Source organism: Homo sapiens, chromosome 16, assembly GCF_000001405.40.
Source record: "Homo sapiens chromosome 16, GRCh38.p14 Primary Assembly".
NCBI classification, from domain to species: Eukaryota; Metazoa; Chordata; class Mammalia; order Primates; family Hominidae; genus Homo; species Homo sapiens.
In genome coordinates, this window is record NC_000016.10 from 17,606,657 (window position 1) to 17,622,003 (window position 15,347).

Consider the following 15,347-nt stretch of genomic DNA (forward strand, 5'->3'; position numbering starts at 1 on the left):
ACTGTCCCTCCTGTTGATGATGTTGTCATTTGAACATCTATTTAATGTACTCAAGTGCTTTCCTTAAAACAATTATGTGTGATGATAAACCAGCCATAATCATGATAACACTGAACAGTTATTGAGCAGCTAATAAATGCCAAGTTTGAGGCTACTTTAAAAATGCATCATCCAATTTTCACAGCAGCCATATAAGATACATACAATTCTCAATTTAGAGAAGGAGGCACAGATTCAGAAAGGTTAAGTCGCCTTCTCGAAGTCACATAGCAAAGAAGTGGCAGAGGTGGGATTTGAACCTGAGCCGCTCTGACTCCAGGGTCCTAACTACTATCTTATGGTGGGTGGCATTGCCTTAATTCTAAAAAAGAAGAAACAGAGACATGAAGAGGGCAGTTAACTGGATCAAAGTCACAGAGCTTACAAGCATTAGAGCTGAGATTTGTGATAGAAGAATTTCCTCTGAGCCAGTGGGCCAGAGGTACTGTCTGGGGTCTGGAATGCACTTCATAAGCACAAACAGAGATGGAGGAGATGGTCAGATGTCTGGATCATCCCCTGAGGGTGAGTTAATTTCGTGCTGTTAAATGAATCTGAAATTTGAAAGCATACTGAATAAAACCACGCATTTTCCCTCATCCTAATGGGACATTAAACAGCTACTTACATAATGAATTATTTAACTGCTGACTGATAAGTGCTGTAAGGTGCAGGGGCTCTGAGAGTTCATGGCAGGAAGTCCTGCCTGAGCCTGGGTCAGAGGAAAGAAACCACAAAAACAAAGATGCACGCCTTCCAGCAGGAGGTTATGGTAATTTGCACAAACCTCACTCCGGTGGGGGGCCTGAGAAGAAGCTGAGGCGCACCTTCCAGGGGAAACAGGCTTCGGAGAATTAAATGATCTCTTGCATCTCCTCTCAATCATATGATGTAATTATTGGGAAATGTCACATGCAGCTTTTTTTGCAGGGACAGGTGTGTGCGAAGAAAGGTAGGCAGGGTTAATATTTTTTCTTCTGGTTTATGAGTTTCATTGATTTTCCTAGAAGGAAAACCCTTATTTGACCTTGTTCCCACAAGCAGGTTTGGCTTGGGATGAGAAGTCTGGCAGCTGTTCAAAGGCAGATGCTCCTGGCCTGAAGCCCCAAGGGACGTCAAGAGGCAGCGAGACAGGAGCAGGAAGGTGGAGACAGCTCTGTGCGCCTGCAACTCTGACTTGTCTGCTCCGCCACATCCAGCTCATCACCCAATTGTGCAAATTTAACTCCTAAAACTCCCCCCAATCTTCCCATTCCTCTCAGCCCCATTGACAGCACCCCAACGCAAGATGCCATCATTTCTTGAAACAGACACTTAACTCATCCCTCACACTCCATTCTTGTTTCCTTATAATATCTTCTCATCTGAGCCAAAAGTGACCTTCTTAATACATAAAGACATACATCACTGTCACCTCCATCTTCTCAAAACCCTTCAGCTGCTTCTCATTGCACTTGGGATAAACATAAAAAATCTTTTTCCAAAGTTGGGCACAGCAGTATGTGCCCGTTGTCCCAGCGAAAGTGGGAGGATTGCTTGAGCTTAAGAGTTGAAGTCCAGTCTGGGCAATACAGCAAGACTATGCTTGAGGGGGGATGGCGGCCAGAGATACTGTAGACACACTGAATTTGGGGATGCTATTTAGTTAGGATTATGCGTGGCTGTAAGTTATAGAATTGCGATCAATGGTAGTCTAAACAATCTCTTATCTTACTAACAAGAAGACTGGAGGCAGACACCCCAAGGTTCGTTCAGCAACTTGATCTTGTCCCTAAAGACCAAGTTCCATTCCAATATGGACTTCCATTTTTAGCATATGGGCTTTTTATACTCATGCTTCTTGTCCCATAGTTACACGGTGGCTGCTGTTGCTCCAGGCATCATGACTATATTCAAAGACAAGAAGGAGAAGGTAAGGAGGGAAATTCAGGACATTAAGAAAGGATTATATCATTTCTTTCTCCTTATATCAGGAAGGAAATATTTCCCAAAGTTCTCCAGCAGATAGCTGCTGCTGTTTCACTGGTTAAATAGTCCTATGTGGCCATCCCTAACCACAGGGGGAGTTGGAAAATTAGGGATCAAGCAAGGGGAAACAGGAGTGCTATGAATGGCTCAGATCGATCATGATTCTCATTCTAGGGCTTGCGTATTGTACCCTTTCCCCGCCCTGCCCCAAATGAGATTGAGATTCTGTCAGGCAGGAGGGCTGACTATTTAGTAGACAACCAACAGTGTCTGACAGAGGGTGGAAGGTGGGATTGGGTTTTATTCAAACAACCACCTTCTGAGTGTGAAAAATGGCAGCTACCTCTTGACTTCAGTACTGTGAAAACTGCCACTTGTTCCAGCTGAGCCTGCTTCTCTTGGCTCATACATTCCCAAGAAGATGACTGTGCAGAGCGGCAAGAGCTTCCCTGTTTCTCAGAATATTCTCAAGAAATAAGGCTACATTAATAATTTGTTTTCTTGGTATGGGCCATTCGGTTGCAAAACAATATTGCAGTCATAGCACGATACTTCCCTTCCTCATTTACATTCACTGTTGGTTTAATTATGCTTTTCAGTCAGAATACTTATTAATTTTATAGACCTACCTGAAAATTAAATTGGATAAATTCCTTTTGCCTGATACCTTGAAGAATGTGTTTTTCCAAGCTGTTGATGGGGCCCGCTTCGGCCCCGTGCAATTTTGTTCCCCTTTAAGTTCATTTGCAAATAACACTGTGTTGGTTTAAAGGGCATTCATCATTTCTGAGCAGGAGAAACACTGCAAACTGCAGCCCAATTCGGAGGAAAGTAGGAGGACAATGGAGAAAATTGCCAAATATTTTATTTTCTCATTGGAGAGGGGAGTCATTGAGTGAGGCATAAAATTTCCCTTAGGATTCCATGAATCCATCTTGCTGGTGAAGAGAACACTACGTGTTACTGGAAGGCATCAGCAAAGCCACAGGGTACCAAAAGGACACAGAGCAGGGACCTTCCCAACTGACCAGGGCTAAAGCGGCTCAACGTGAGAACAGCAGGCAGTGTATTTATTCATTAGACATTCACTGTGTCTCAGGCACGATGGAGCTAAAAACGCAATTAAGACATATTACCTACTCTCAAGCAGCTTGAATTTTCATAGCAGTAGACAGGCAAATAAAGGCACAGTGATGATAAAGTGTGTCTATCATAAGGTAGAAAAAGCACAGAATGCTGTGAGATTCCAGAAGCAGTACAACACGCCCCTAGCCTGAAAGCTCTATGAGGATGGGAAGTGTATTTATGCTATGCTGTGCTGTAACTTTGCTGCCTAGCCCCATGCCTGGCATTCAGATATTTAATAATTAGTTGCTGAATTGAATTGAATTAAAATCAATCCAGCCTGGTGGCATGTATTATTTAGGTGTGGTTAGCTGCTATAACAAATAAATCTCCAAATCTCAATGGCTGTAACACAGTAGAAAAATGCATATGTGTGTGTGTGGGGTGTGTGTGTGTGTGTGTATTTGCTTTTTCTTCACAAAGATCACATCAGATCTGAGATGATAGAGGGTGTCTGTCCCAAGCTGCTATTTGAGAACTGAAGCTTCTCCCATCCTGGGTCTCTTATCATCTTCTGAGTCCTCACCCCCACTTAATGAATAGAGTACAAAACAAAATTAAAATTCTAAGGCCCCCCAACCACCTGAAGAGACCCCTCCTTTAGGCCAAGGGTCAAGTTAACCTGAAAATCAAGTTCAGGCCACAATGAGAAGTGGGATTGGGACATGCCTCATTACAGCTTCCTCCCTTTTGCAATTACTGATGGAACAGACTCTTTAAGTCTGGTAAGAAACATTTACAATCTATTCTTTCTGAAGCCTTATACCCAGTGGCTTCATCTGTCTGATATAATGTTGGTCTCCACAATCCCTTATGATAATCCACAGCCAGCTAGCTACCTAGCTAGCTTGCTTGCTTGCTTGCTTGCTTCCTTCCTTCCTTCCTTCCTTTCCTTCTTCCTCCCTCCCTCCCTCCTTCCCTTTCTTCTTTCCTTCTTACTTTGAGACAGAGTCTCACTCTGTCATCGGGGCTGGACAGCACTGGCGCAATCTCAGCTCACTGCAACCTCTGCCTCCTGGGTTCAAGGGATTCTCCCACCTCAGGCTCCTGAGTAGCTGGGACTGCAGGCATGTGCCACCACACCAAGCTAAGTTTTGTATTTGTAGTAGAGACAGGGTTTCACCATGTTGGCCAGGCTGCTTTCAGACTCCTGACCTCAAGTGACCTGCCCACCTTGGTGTCCCAAAGCGCTGGGATTACAGGCTTGAGTCACGGTGCCCAGCTCACACATTCCTGTCTATTGATAATAACATTTTCAACGAATTGCCAATCAGCAAATCTTTTAATCTACCTATCACTTGGGAGCACCAATTCCTACCTTATTACCCCCAGCATTTCCAGTTGTCCCCCCTTTCTGGACTGTACCAATGTATATCTCACATGTATTGATTAACTCCTTATGTATCCCTAAAAGGTACAAAACCAAGATGTGGCCTGACCACCTTGGGCAGATGTTCTTGGGATCACCTGAGGGCTGTGCCTGGGCCATTGGTCTCTCATATGTGACTCAGAATAAATCCTTTCAAATATTTTACAGTTTGACTCTTCGTCAACAAAAGGAAAAGAGAAAAGAGAGCCACTGGGAAGTTTAAAGGGCTAGGATTAGAAGTGGCACTCAATGCTTCCTCTTGCATTCCACTGACCGGAAGTCTTACATGGCCATATCTAAGTATAAGGCCGGAAAATACAGTCAGATTAAGTGCTCAGGAGGAAAGGATATAGATTTGGTAAAAACGTTACTGGAAAGCGGTCCTAATCCAGACCCCAAGAGAGGGTTCTTGAATCTCGGGCAAGAAAGAATTTGGGGCAAGTCCACAGTACAAAGTGAAAGTAAGTTTATTAAGAAAGTAAAAGAGTGAAAGAATAGCTACTCCATCAACACAGGAGGGCGTTCCTGAAAGTAAAAGGAGAGACGTGGCCACCCTGGGTACAACGCTTGCTTATATATAGGATAACAACAACAAAACCACAGGGAGATGTGCTCTATTACAAGGGTTTGTGATAAAGGGTTAATTTTCCTAATTACTATATATTGCAAGAATCAATATTATTATCTCTAAAGCAAAATTAGGAAGGCTTCTGTCAGAGGCGTTTGAACCGGAGCAACTCTATCTTGAATAGAGGCTGCATAAAATAAGGCGGAGACCTATTGGGCTGCATTCCCAGATGGTTAAGGCATTCTAAGTCACAGAATGAGATAGGAGGTTGGCACAAGATACAGGTCATAAACACCTTGCTGACAAAACAGATTGCAGTAAAGAAGCCAGCCAAAACCCACCAAAACTAAGATAGCAACGAGAGTGACCTCTGCGCATCCTCACTGCTGCACTCCACCAGCGCCATGACAGTTTACAAATGCCATGGCAACATCAGGAAGTTATCCCATATGGTCTAGAAAGGGGAGGCATGAATAATCCACCCCTTGTTTAGCATATCATTAAGAAATAACCATAAAAATGGGCAACCAGCAGCCTTCGGGGGGCTGCTCTATGGAGTAGCCATTCTCTTATTCCTTTACTTTCTTAATAAACTTGCTTTCAAATTTGCTCTAGGGACTTGCCCTGAATTCCCTCTTGGGCCAGATCCAAAAACCCTCTCTTGGGGTCTGAATTGGGGACCCCTTTCTGGTAACACTTCTGTTTTCAAGATATCAGGATATCACGGCATTCCTGACTCTGGGTCTGTTTAGTAAAGGTTCTCAATCTGCTCCCTTAACTGTAAACATCCAGAGACTAGGAATTCCTAACTTCCTGGGAATGCAGCCTGGCAATTCCCAGCCTTATTTTCCTAGCCCTCACTCAAGATGGAGTCGTTCTGGTTCGAATGCCTCTGACAAAAACTTCACTGTTTTTTATATGTAGCTGGAAAAGTGGTCCCAAACAATCTTTAAGATGAATAGGAGATATCCCCAATGATAAGGAGTAAAGAACATTGCAATCAGAAGGGTTAGTGTGAATAAAGATAGCCTGGGGTTCATAAATGGTGAAAAATCACATGCACAGTAAGATAAGGCTGTAAAGTGAGGCAGAAGTTAAGTCACAGAAGGGATTTTACACTATGCCAAGGAGTTTATACCTTGTCCTAAGGGCAACTGGAAGCCACTGAAGCTTTTTGATTAAAAGGGTAGGGTGGTCAGCTTTGCATTTTAGAACAATGCCTTTGGGCTAGGTGTGGAAATTGTGGGGGGCTATCATACACAGAGATGGAGAGGATAGATTTGAGAAATATTAGAAGGTAAAAATGGAGGGGCTAGGTGGCTGAGTGTGTTAGAGGTTTTTGAACCAGAGCAACTCTATCTTGAATAGGGGCTAGGTAAAATGAGGCTGAGACCTACTGGGCTGCTTTCCCAGATGGTTAGGCATTCTAAGTCACAGAATGAGGGAGGAGGTCAGCACAAGATACAGGTCATGGCCGGGCGTGGTGGCTCACGCCTGTAATCCCAGCTCTCTGGGAGGCCAAGGTGGGTAGATCACCTGAGGTCAGAAGTTTGAGACCAGTCTGGTCAACATGGCAAAACCCTAATTCTACTAAAAATACAAAAATTAGCTGGGCCTCGTGGCTCATGCCTGTAATCCCAGCTACTCTGGGAGACTGAGACATGAGAATTGCTTGAACCTGGGAGGCGGAGGTTGCAGTGAGCCAAGATCGTGCCACTGCACTCCAGCCTGGGTGACAGAGTGAGACTCCATCTCAAAAAAAAAAAAAAAAAAAAAAAAAAAAAAAAACAGGTCATAAAGACCTTGTTGATAAAACAGGTCTCAGTAAAGCAGCCAGCCAAAACCTACCAAAACCAAGATGGTGATGAGACCATCAACCAAGATGGTGATGAGACCTCTGGTCATCCTCACTGCTACACTCCCACCAGCTCCATGACAGTTTACAAATGCCATCTCAAGGTCAGGAAGTCACCCTATTGGTCTAAAAGGGGAGACATGGATAATTCACCCCTTGGTTAGCATATCATCAAGAAATAACCATAAAAATGGGCAACCAGCAGCCCTCGAGGGCTGCTCTATGGAGTAGCCATTCTCTTATTCCTTTATTTTCCTAATAAACTTGCTTTTGCTTTGCTCTATGGACTCTCCCTGAATTATTTCTTTTACAAGATCTAAGAACCTTCTCTTGGGGTCTGGATCAGCGCCCCTTTCCTGTAACAATGCCAAGGAGTTTGCAACCCGTCCTAAGGGCAGTTGGAAGCCACTGAAGCTTTCTGATCAAAACGGTAGTGTGGTCAGCTTCGCATTTTAGAAGGATGACATTGGGCTTGGTGTAGAAATTGTAAGGGGCTATCATTACACACAGAGATGAAGAGGAGATAATAGACTTGAGAAATACTTAGAAGGTAAAAATGGCAGGGCTAGGTGGCTTATTGGATGTCAATCAGCCTCTTTGTCCTTTCTGTGAACTCCCTTCCCTTGTCTTCTCATTCTGAGTACCCTAGCTAACCTTCTCCACCTGAATGCTTAGTCCAAGTTGTGACCAGATCCATTTGGCTCTGGGGGATTAGACTTGGTGCCATTTATTAGGGATATTGGATATATTCCAATCTCGACCCAAGGATCTGGCAGGGCAAAAATTATTACTGAAATTCTAAAATGTAGATAAATTTATCTAGAATTTATCTGGGAATTCAAATTTATCTGCCTAATCATTGTTCATTTTATGGCCAGAAATTTATAGACAGCCCCATTTTCTGAACAGAAATTCAGAGATACATAAAATTTTCTGGAGGTGTGCTTTACATTGATAAAGTTGGGGAGGGGGTGCTAGATGGGAAGGAAGTGCTGTGGCTGGGGCAATACTTTCCCTCCCTATAGCGACAAGTGTCACTGGTCTTCCAAAGCAGTACTGTGTAAAATATCCCATAAAATGGGGAAAATGGTAACATAAACTAGTATTGGTGCTAAACTAGTGGTTTAGCACTCACGCTATGGCATTAGAGGTTAGATCCTGCTTTCCTAACTTACTGGTTGTGTGACCTCTGATAATCATTTGACTCCACGGGAGTTCAGTTTTCTCAGCTACAAATGAAGGTAGCAATAGCTCTAGTCCTGCAAAGTTGTTATGAGATGTAATGAGATAATATGCATTCAGTTCTTGGAAGACTGTAGGAACAAATTAAGTGTAATCTTTATGGTGAGAGAATGGCTACTTTCCCACAGACAAGACATTTGATTCAGCTGCGTATGTTCTTTAGCCATATCAATGGTAATAAATATGGGTTGAAAGGATTGATTTAATGATTTGACAAATATTTTCAAATATATTCAACATATATTGTGTATATAATATGTGCCTAATTTTGGAGACACAGTGTTGAAAAAGAGCAAGCTTCCTACTCAAATTGAAATTTAATTGTAGTGTCAAAGAAAAACAATGAATAACAAACAAACATGCAATATGATGCTAAGTAGTAATACTGTTATGAAGAACAAATAAAGGAGGGTAGAAGGTATAGAAAGTGACAGGAGATGCTTTTAGGTAGAACAGAGGTCTGAATAATGCAATGAATTAAAGGGTGAATGAGGAAATGAATGAGGAGCAGAAGGAAGATAAAGCAGACAGTGTGATGGTAGCTTCCAAGAACACTTCAGTCCAGATAAAAATGTGTAGGATGGATTTAGACTTTCCAAACATAAGGTTAACTTTAAGAGTCTAGAAAGTGATAAGTAAATTAAAGCAAAAATAAATAGAAGAAATTGATACAAAAAATAAGAGCTGATATAAAGAAATAAAAAAGCAAACAGATAAAAGCAAAAGTTGGTTCTTTGAAATGACCCACAAAATTGATTAACTGTCAGATTGCTGAAACAAAAAAGAGAAAACACAAAATACCAATATCAGGAGTGAAGGAGACATTGTAACTACAGATCCTACAGACATTAAAAGTTTAAGAAGAAAACATTAGGAATAATTGACAACATATTCAATAATCTATATGAAATGGTGACATTCTTTGAAAAATAAAACTCACCAAAATTGACACAAGATGAAACAGAAGATCTGAATGATCCTAAATCTAATAAAGAGATTGAGTTGGTTTTCAAAAACATCCTCACAAAGAAAACTCGAGGCCCAGATATTTCACTAGTGACTTCTATTACGCATTTAAGGAAAGAATAATAACAATCTTATATGAACTTTATATGAAAATTAAGGATAGAACACTTTCTAACTAGTTTTATGAAGACAGCAAAACCCTTATACCAACACTTGCCAAAGGTATCACAAAAAAATCATAATTACAGATCAATATAATTTATGAATACTTCTCAAAATAAAAAAATGCTTAACAAATTGTTCACAAACTAAATCCAATAATATATAAAAAATAATAATATGTCATGAACAAGTAGAGCTTATCCCAGGAATGTAAGGTTGGTAATTCACCATATTAACAGAAGGAGGATAAAAATCATATAATCATTTTAATAGATTCAGAAAGCATTTATCAAAATTCAACACACATTCATGAATAAAAACTCTCCACAAATTAGGAATATAACAGAACTTAATCAAGTTGGTAAAAGATATCTGTGGGAAACCTATGGCTAAACATCACACTTAATGCTGAAAGACTGAACACTTTTCCAATAAAGATCAGGAAAAAGGCAAGGCCATTTTACCACTTTTATGTGACATTGTACTAGAGGTTATAGTCATTTCAATAAGTCAAGGAAGGGACATAAAAGACATAAAGTTGAATGCTAGACATAAAACTGCTTCTATTTGCAGATGTCATGAGTGTTTATGTAGAAAATATTAAGGATTCTAGAAAGCAACTACTGCAAATAATAAAGCATTTTAGCAAGGTCCCAAGATACACAATTAATATCACAAAAATCAGTTATGATTTTATATACTAGCAGTAAACAACTGGAAAATGAAGTTAAAATTTTCACTTAGCCTCAAAAAACATATAATACTTAGAAATAAATTTAACAAAACATACATGAAAGTTTTAAATTGACCTATTAATATAAAACATTCCTGAAATTAAAGGACATTAAATAAATGGAGAGCTATATACCATGATCATAGATTGAGTGACTCAAAACACGTGGTAGGATGTTTCATTTTTCATTCATTCTTCACCCAACTCCAACACACACACACACACACACACACACACATACACACACGTGCACACACACATTGCTTCTTCTCCAGCTTTAAAGTTATCCAACTGAAAATTTAATATTATTTTATTGTGGTAATGTGAGATGAATTAAATGTCATTTTACTAAAGATGTCTCCCCACCTATGGCCTATTAAAGCACCTGTAACCACTGTATGAATCACTCCAAAAAGTCACTTTCTTAGTGGTAGAACAAGACTCTGCACGATGTAGACTCTGCATACCTTCCCATCCACATTTTTCAGATTTACTGAATGTTTTGCTCATTCCATCTCTAGTCCATTGGCCTTTGCATTTGCCATTCATTCCGGAAAATTTCCTTCCCTCCTGTTGCAAAACCATTAGATCTCAGCTTAGACAAATACTCTAGGAATAATGAAATGTCTGCCGTTCCTCCAGGAAGGGTCCCACCCCAATCACAGACTGAACAATGTTTACACATAAACACATTCCCATCTCATTCATGTAAGTACAGTTTGCAAGAAATCTGCGATGCAAATGTGTACATATTTTCAACCAATGCTTGTGGGGAAACATTGTGCTTTGGGCCATTTCAACTTCAAAATCTAATGAATCTAATCATTCCAAATATTCTCATGGGATTAATAACATATCTTATATGTATAAAGCATGGCCTCTTCCCATGAGTCCCGACTACAACCAGTGTTTTGGAGAATGTGTTTCACTCCAACATTCAGACTCCTGAGATCTTGATAGGTATGTAAATTGCCTGTCCAATCTCCATTCTCCCCTTTTTTCTTGGTAACAGAGCCCTGATTTTATTCAGAGAAGCAATACATCTAACTAAAGGTCTATATCCCCAGCCTTCACTGTAGTAAGGTAGGACAGTGTTGACTAAATTCTGACCTTTATAGAAGTGTTGTGTGGCTTTTCAAGGAATATTCTTAAAGGAAGCTGATTGGGGTGAGAACTATGTTTTCGGGGATTTTCCCTCTTTTTCCTTCCTTCCTGCTGTCAATAAAGTAACCGTGATGACCAGAACTTTAACAACTGTGTTTGACCATGAAGCTATCTTGAAGATGGAGTTGCTGTGGGCTCAGTTATGCCAGAGGAGACAACAAGAGGGGTAGAAACTACAATATCTGCTTTGGGCAACGTACCTCTGCACTGCTTTTCATGGGACAGTAAGCCTTTGAGAGTCCGAGCCACGGCCATTGAGCGTTTTCGGTTATTTGCAGCTGAACCTTATCAAACTAATATTGACAACTTGGGAATTTAACCAACAGGAAGTGAAAAACATAGCTGCCCCAGCCTCCAATCATACAGGAAAGGAGGAGAAAAGGGGGGAGAAGAGAGAGGAAGAAAAGGAGTTGAGGAAGAGGATGAAGATGATGAGGAGGAAGGGAAGGAGGAAGAGCAGAAGAACGATGAGAATGAGAAAGATGGGGAGGAGGACAGTGAGGATGGGGAGGAGGACAGTGAGGATGAGGAGGAGGATTATGAGGAGGAGGACTGTAACAGCAGCAAATACATAGATGGTGCATGTGTGCCAGGCCCTGTTACCTATTCTTACTGACTTAATCCTCTTAATCAACCCTATGAAGTCACTATTATCATCCCCATTTTATAAATAAGGCGAGGCTAAGAGAGGTGAAATAAATCACCTGTGGCCACACAGTTTATGGTTGAAACTGCTGAGTTTACTCCTGCTATGATCAAACCTCTTTCCTGTGTCTTTGAAATACTGAACAGCAAAGGCTGCAAGGATTGGAAACCCTTTTTAGAGATTTCAAGGATTGCCTTCTTGCTTTTTAGTTTTTCTTGGTCTCGCTTCCCCCAACTATTTTGTAGATTCCTTTAAAGGAAGGAGAGTAACATGGTTTGTGAAAAAAGTGAAATATAATGATATGATATATAATGTAAAAGTAGGCTTAAAGATACTTGAAAATAAGTAGTCATAACAGGGAAAACGGGCACATCCAAAAACTACAATCAAAAGTACAAGGGCACTCTTTATATAACATTCTCAAAACGTCAAAGTTACAGCGACATGCCAAAAATTATACAAATCAATGGTTTCCAGGGTTAGGGTTCGGGGAAGGCTGTGCTCGTCAATAGCATTGCACCAGTGTTAGTTTCTTGGGTAAAGAAGGGAGCTTCACCATTACCTCTGGGTCATCCTGGGCACCTCTGTGTTGACTGCCCAGGTCATATTCTGTTAACACGGCTTAAAAAAATTTTTTTAAAGGAAAACAAAAGTGACTTTAAACTCACCCCTGAAAAAGGTTATTAAAAGACAGTATTTACTTTACAAAAAAAAAAAAAAAAGCAACCCAACCTCTTTGCAGAAGTTCATAAAAATCCCTGTACGCATCAAGACTGAGAGGCTTTTCAATTATAAATGAGACTTTAAAAGGTAGACAGAACCCCTGAAGCTTCCACATACCACGCACCATTGTGGCGGATGGAAGGAAAACCGTCGCCCTGTGTTGACGGCGTATTTATAATTGAAGAGTTTGAGAACGCAAATGCAAATGAATCAACACCAACAGGGATGTCTAAAAGACATAAGTGAGAATTACGGCAATTAAGAATGTTGTCTCAGAGGAAATTAGACTGGGCCATTAATTACAATGCCTTAAAGGGAAAGAGGTCCCAGTGAAAATGCAATAAATTAAAATATCAAAAAGAAAATTAGTGGGAAGGAAACATGGAAGTGCCAATGAGAAGCTAATCTCAGAGGTGGTGATGGGGAAGAGAAGGGAGAAGGCATATTGAAAGCGAATATTGAAGAGGTGAGGCAGACCTGCCCAGGCTAAATCCTCCTGCCCTCCCTTCTTTTCTCCTCCTCTGTCTCCTTCCTTCCCTCCTTCCTTTTTCTCTCCTTTTCTTCTTTCCTCTCTCCTTTCTCACCTCCCATCTCTATTCTTTCCTTACTTTTCTTCCTTTCTCCTTCCTTCTCTTACCCCTCCATACTTCCCCCTTTCCTTCCTTCTCTACTCCCCCTTTTTCCTTCCTTCCCACCATTCTTTTCTTCTTCTGACCTTCCCTGCTCTCTCCTTTCACTTTTCCTGTCCCCTCCTTTCCCTGTGACTTCAAAGTACCAAATCCTAAGAGGCAGAGACACACCAGGAGCCATCGCTCTGCCCAGGGAGAAATTAGAATCTGCCTTGGGAAGCCCACACGCATCTGCTGCTGCCTGGCTGCATCTCCCCTGCCCTTGCCCTTTAAATCAGCTGCCAGGCTCCTCAAGGGGAGCAGCCACTAGACTGTCCCCAGTGAATGGCCCAGGTGTCCCTGCTCACTCCTGGTCCAGTGACACTCTAATGTTCCTTGGCTTTAAGTTCTCAAAAATCATGTGTATTTATTTGTCTCCTCAACTTGGCAGGGAAAATCTTGAGCGTGTGTGTGTGTGTGTGTGTGTGGTGTGTATGTGTGTGTGTGTTTTGTTTTGACATGGAGTCTTTGTTACCCAGGCTGGAGTGCGGTGGCACATCTTGGTCTCAAAGCAACCTCTGCTCCCAGGTTCCAGTGATTCTTATGCCTCAGGCTCCCGAGTAGCTGGGACTACAGTCATGTGCCACCAGGCCCGGCTAATTTTGTATTTTTAGTAGACACAGGGTTTCACCATGTTGGTCAGGCTGGTCTCAAACTCCTGACCTCAGGTGATCCACCTGCCTCAGCCTCCCAAATTGCTGGGATTACAGGCATGATCAACCACGCCTGGCCAGCTTTTGTTTTTTGATATAGGTACTAACCAGACCCTCTGGATGTGGCACCTCCTCTCTTCTGGTGTTCTTCCAACTCTACACCATGGACATCCTCTAACCCTACCTTGCCGCAATCCAGCATCCCTCTCTGCCACAGGCAGGAATGACCAATCCTCCAATTTCCTCACCTGTCTAGGCTTCCACATGACATTCTCAAGTATCTCTATGATAGGAAGAGTTGCTTTCTATGGTGCAAAACTGTCCCAACTTCAGTGGTTTTTTTTTTTTTTTCCTGTAAACACTTTTTACCTGCATAATGATTCACTTAATAGTACTCTTTAAAAAACCGCATTAAAAATTATTTTAAATTTCAATAGTTTTGGGGGGACAGATGGTTTTTGGTTCCATTGATAAGTTCTTTAGTGGTGATTTCTGAGATTTTAGTGCACCTGTCACCAGAGCAGGGTACCCTGTACCCAATATGTGGTCTTTTATCCCTCACTCCCCCAACTTACCTTCCCCCCTTGAGTCCCCAAAGTCCACTATATTATTCTTGTGCCTTTGAGTCCACACAGCTTAGTTCCCACTTATAAGTGAGAACGTACTATATTTAGTTTTCCATTCCTGAGTTACTTCACTTAGAATAATGTCCTCCAGCTCCATCCTAGTTGCTGCAAATGATATTATTTCATTCTTTTTTATGGCTCAGTAGTATTCTCTGCTGTGTATATACCATATTTTCTTTATCCACTTGTTGGCTGATGGGCACTTAGGTTGGTTCCATATCTTTGCAATTAAAAATTCCATTTTATTTATTTATCGAGATGGAGTTTCACTCTTGTCACCCAGGCTGGAGAGCAATGGTGCGATCTCAGCTCACTGCAACCTCCGCCTCCCGGGTTCAAGCGATTCTCCTGCCTCAGCCTCCCAAGTAGCTAGGATTACAGGTGCCCACCACCACACCCAGCTGATTTTTATATTTTTAGTAGAGATGAAGCTTCGCCATGTTGGCCAGGCTGGTCTCGAACTCCCGACCTCAGGTGATCCACCCGCCTTGGCCTCCCAAAGTGCTGGGATTACAGGTGTGAGCCACTGCGCCCAGCCAAAAAGTCCATTATTTTAAATTCAAATACTTTAGCCTCACCTGAAAGCAATAACATCTGTGAAACCAAGGCTTTTCTACACAAGTTATGGATCTTTTTCTTGTGAATATTAACATAAACACATGTCTACACAACGTAAAATGTCCAATCAGTTTCCTTCATGGGTTTGCCTCTTGTGAGCGGCAACACTTCTTGTACAAGAAACACTGCTGGGGTGAGAAAGTACAGGATACGAATTAAGTACAATCCAATTTGGTTTCACCACCTGCTGTAGGATGTTGGGAAAACTGGGTATTACCCTTG

General features: G+C 41.5%; 1 annotated feature.

Moving 5' to 3' along the window:
* Positions 347-1,546: an enhancer, noted in NCBI's record as "BRD4-independent group 4 enhancer chr16:17700860-17702059 (GRCh37/hg19 assembly coordinates)". NCBI's record gives its function as "activates an origin of replication core promoter dependent on BRD2, P300/CBP, MED14 and CDK7 cofactors, and independent of BRD4, by STARR-seq in HCT116 cells {active_cell/tissue: HCT116}" and the evidence as "EXISTENCE:reporter gene assay evidence [ECO:0000049][PMID:35650434]".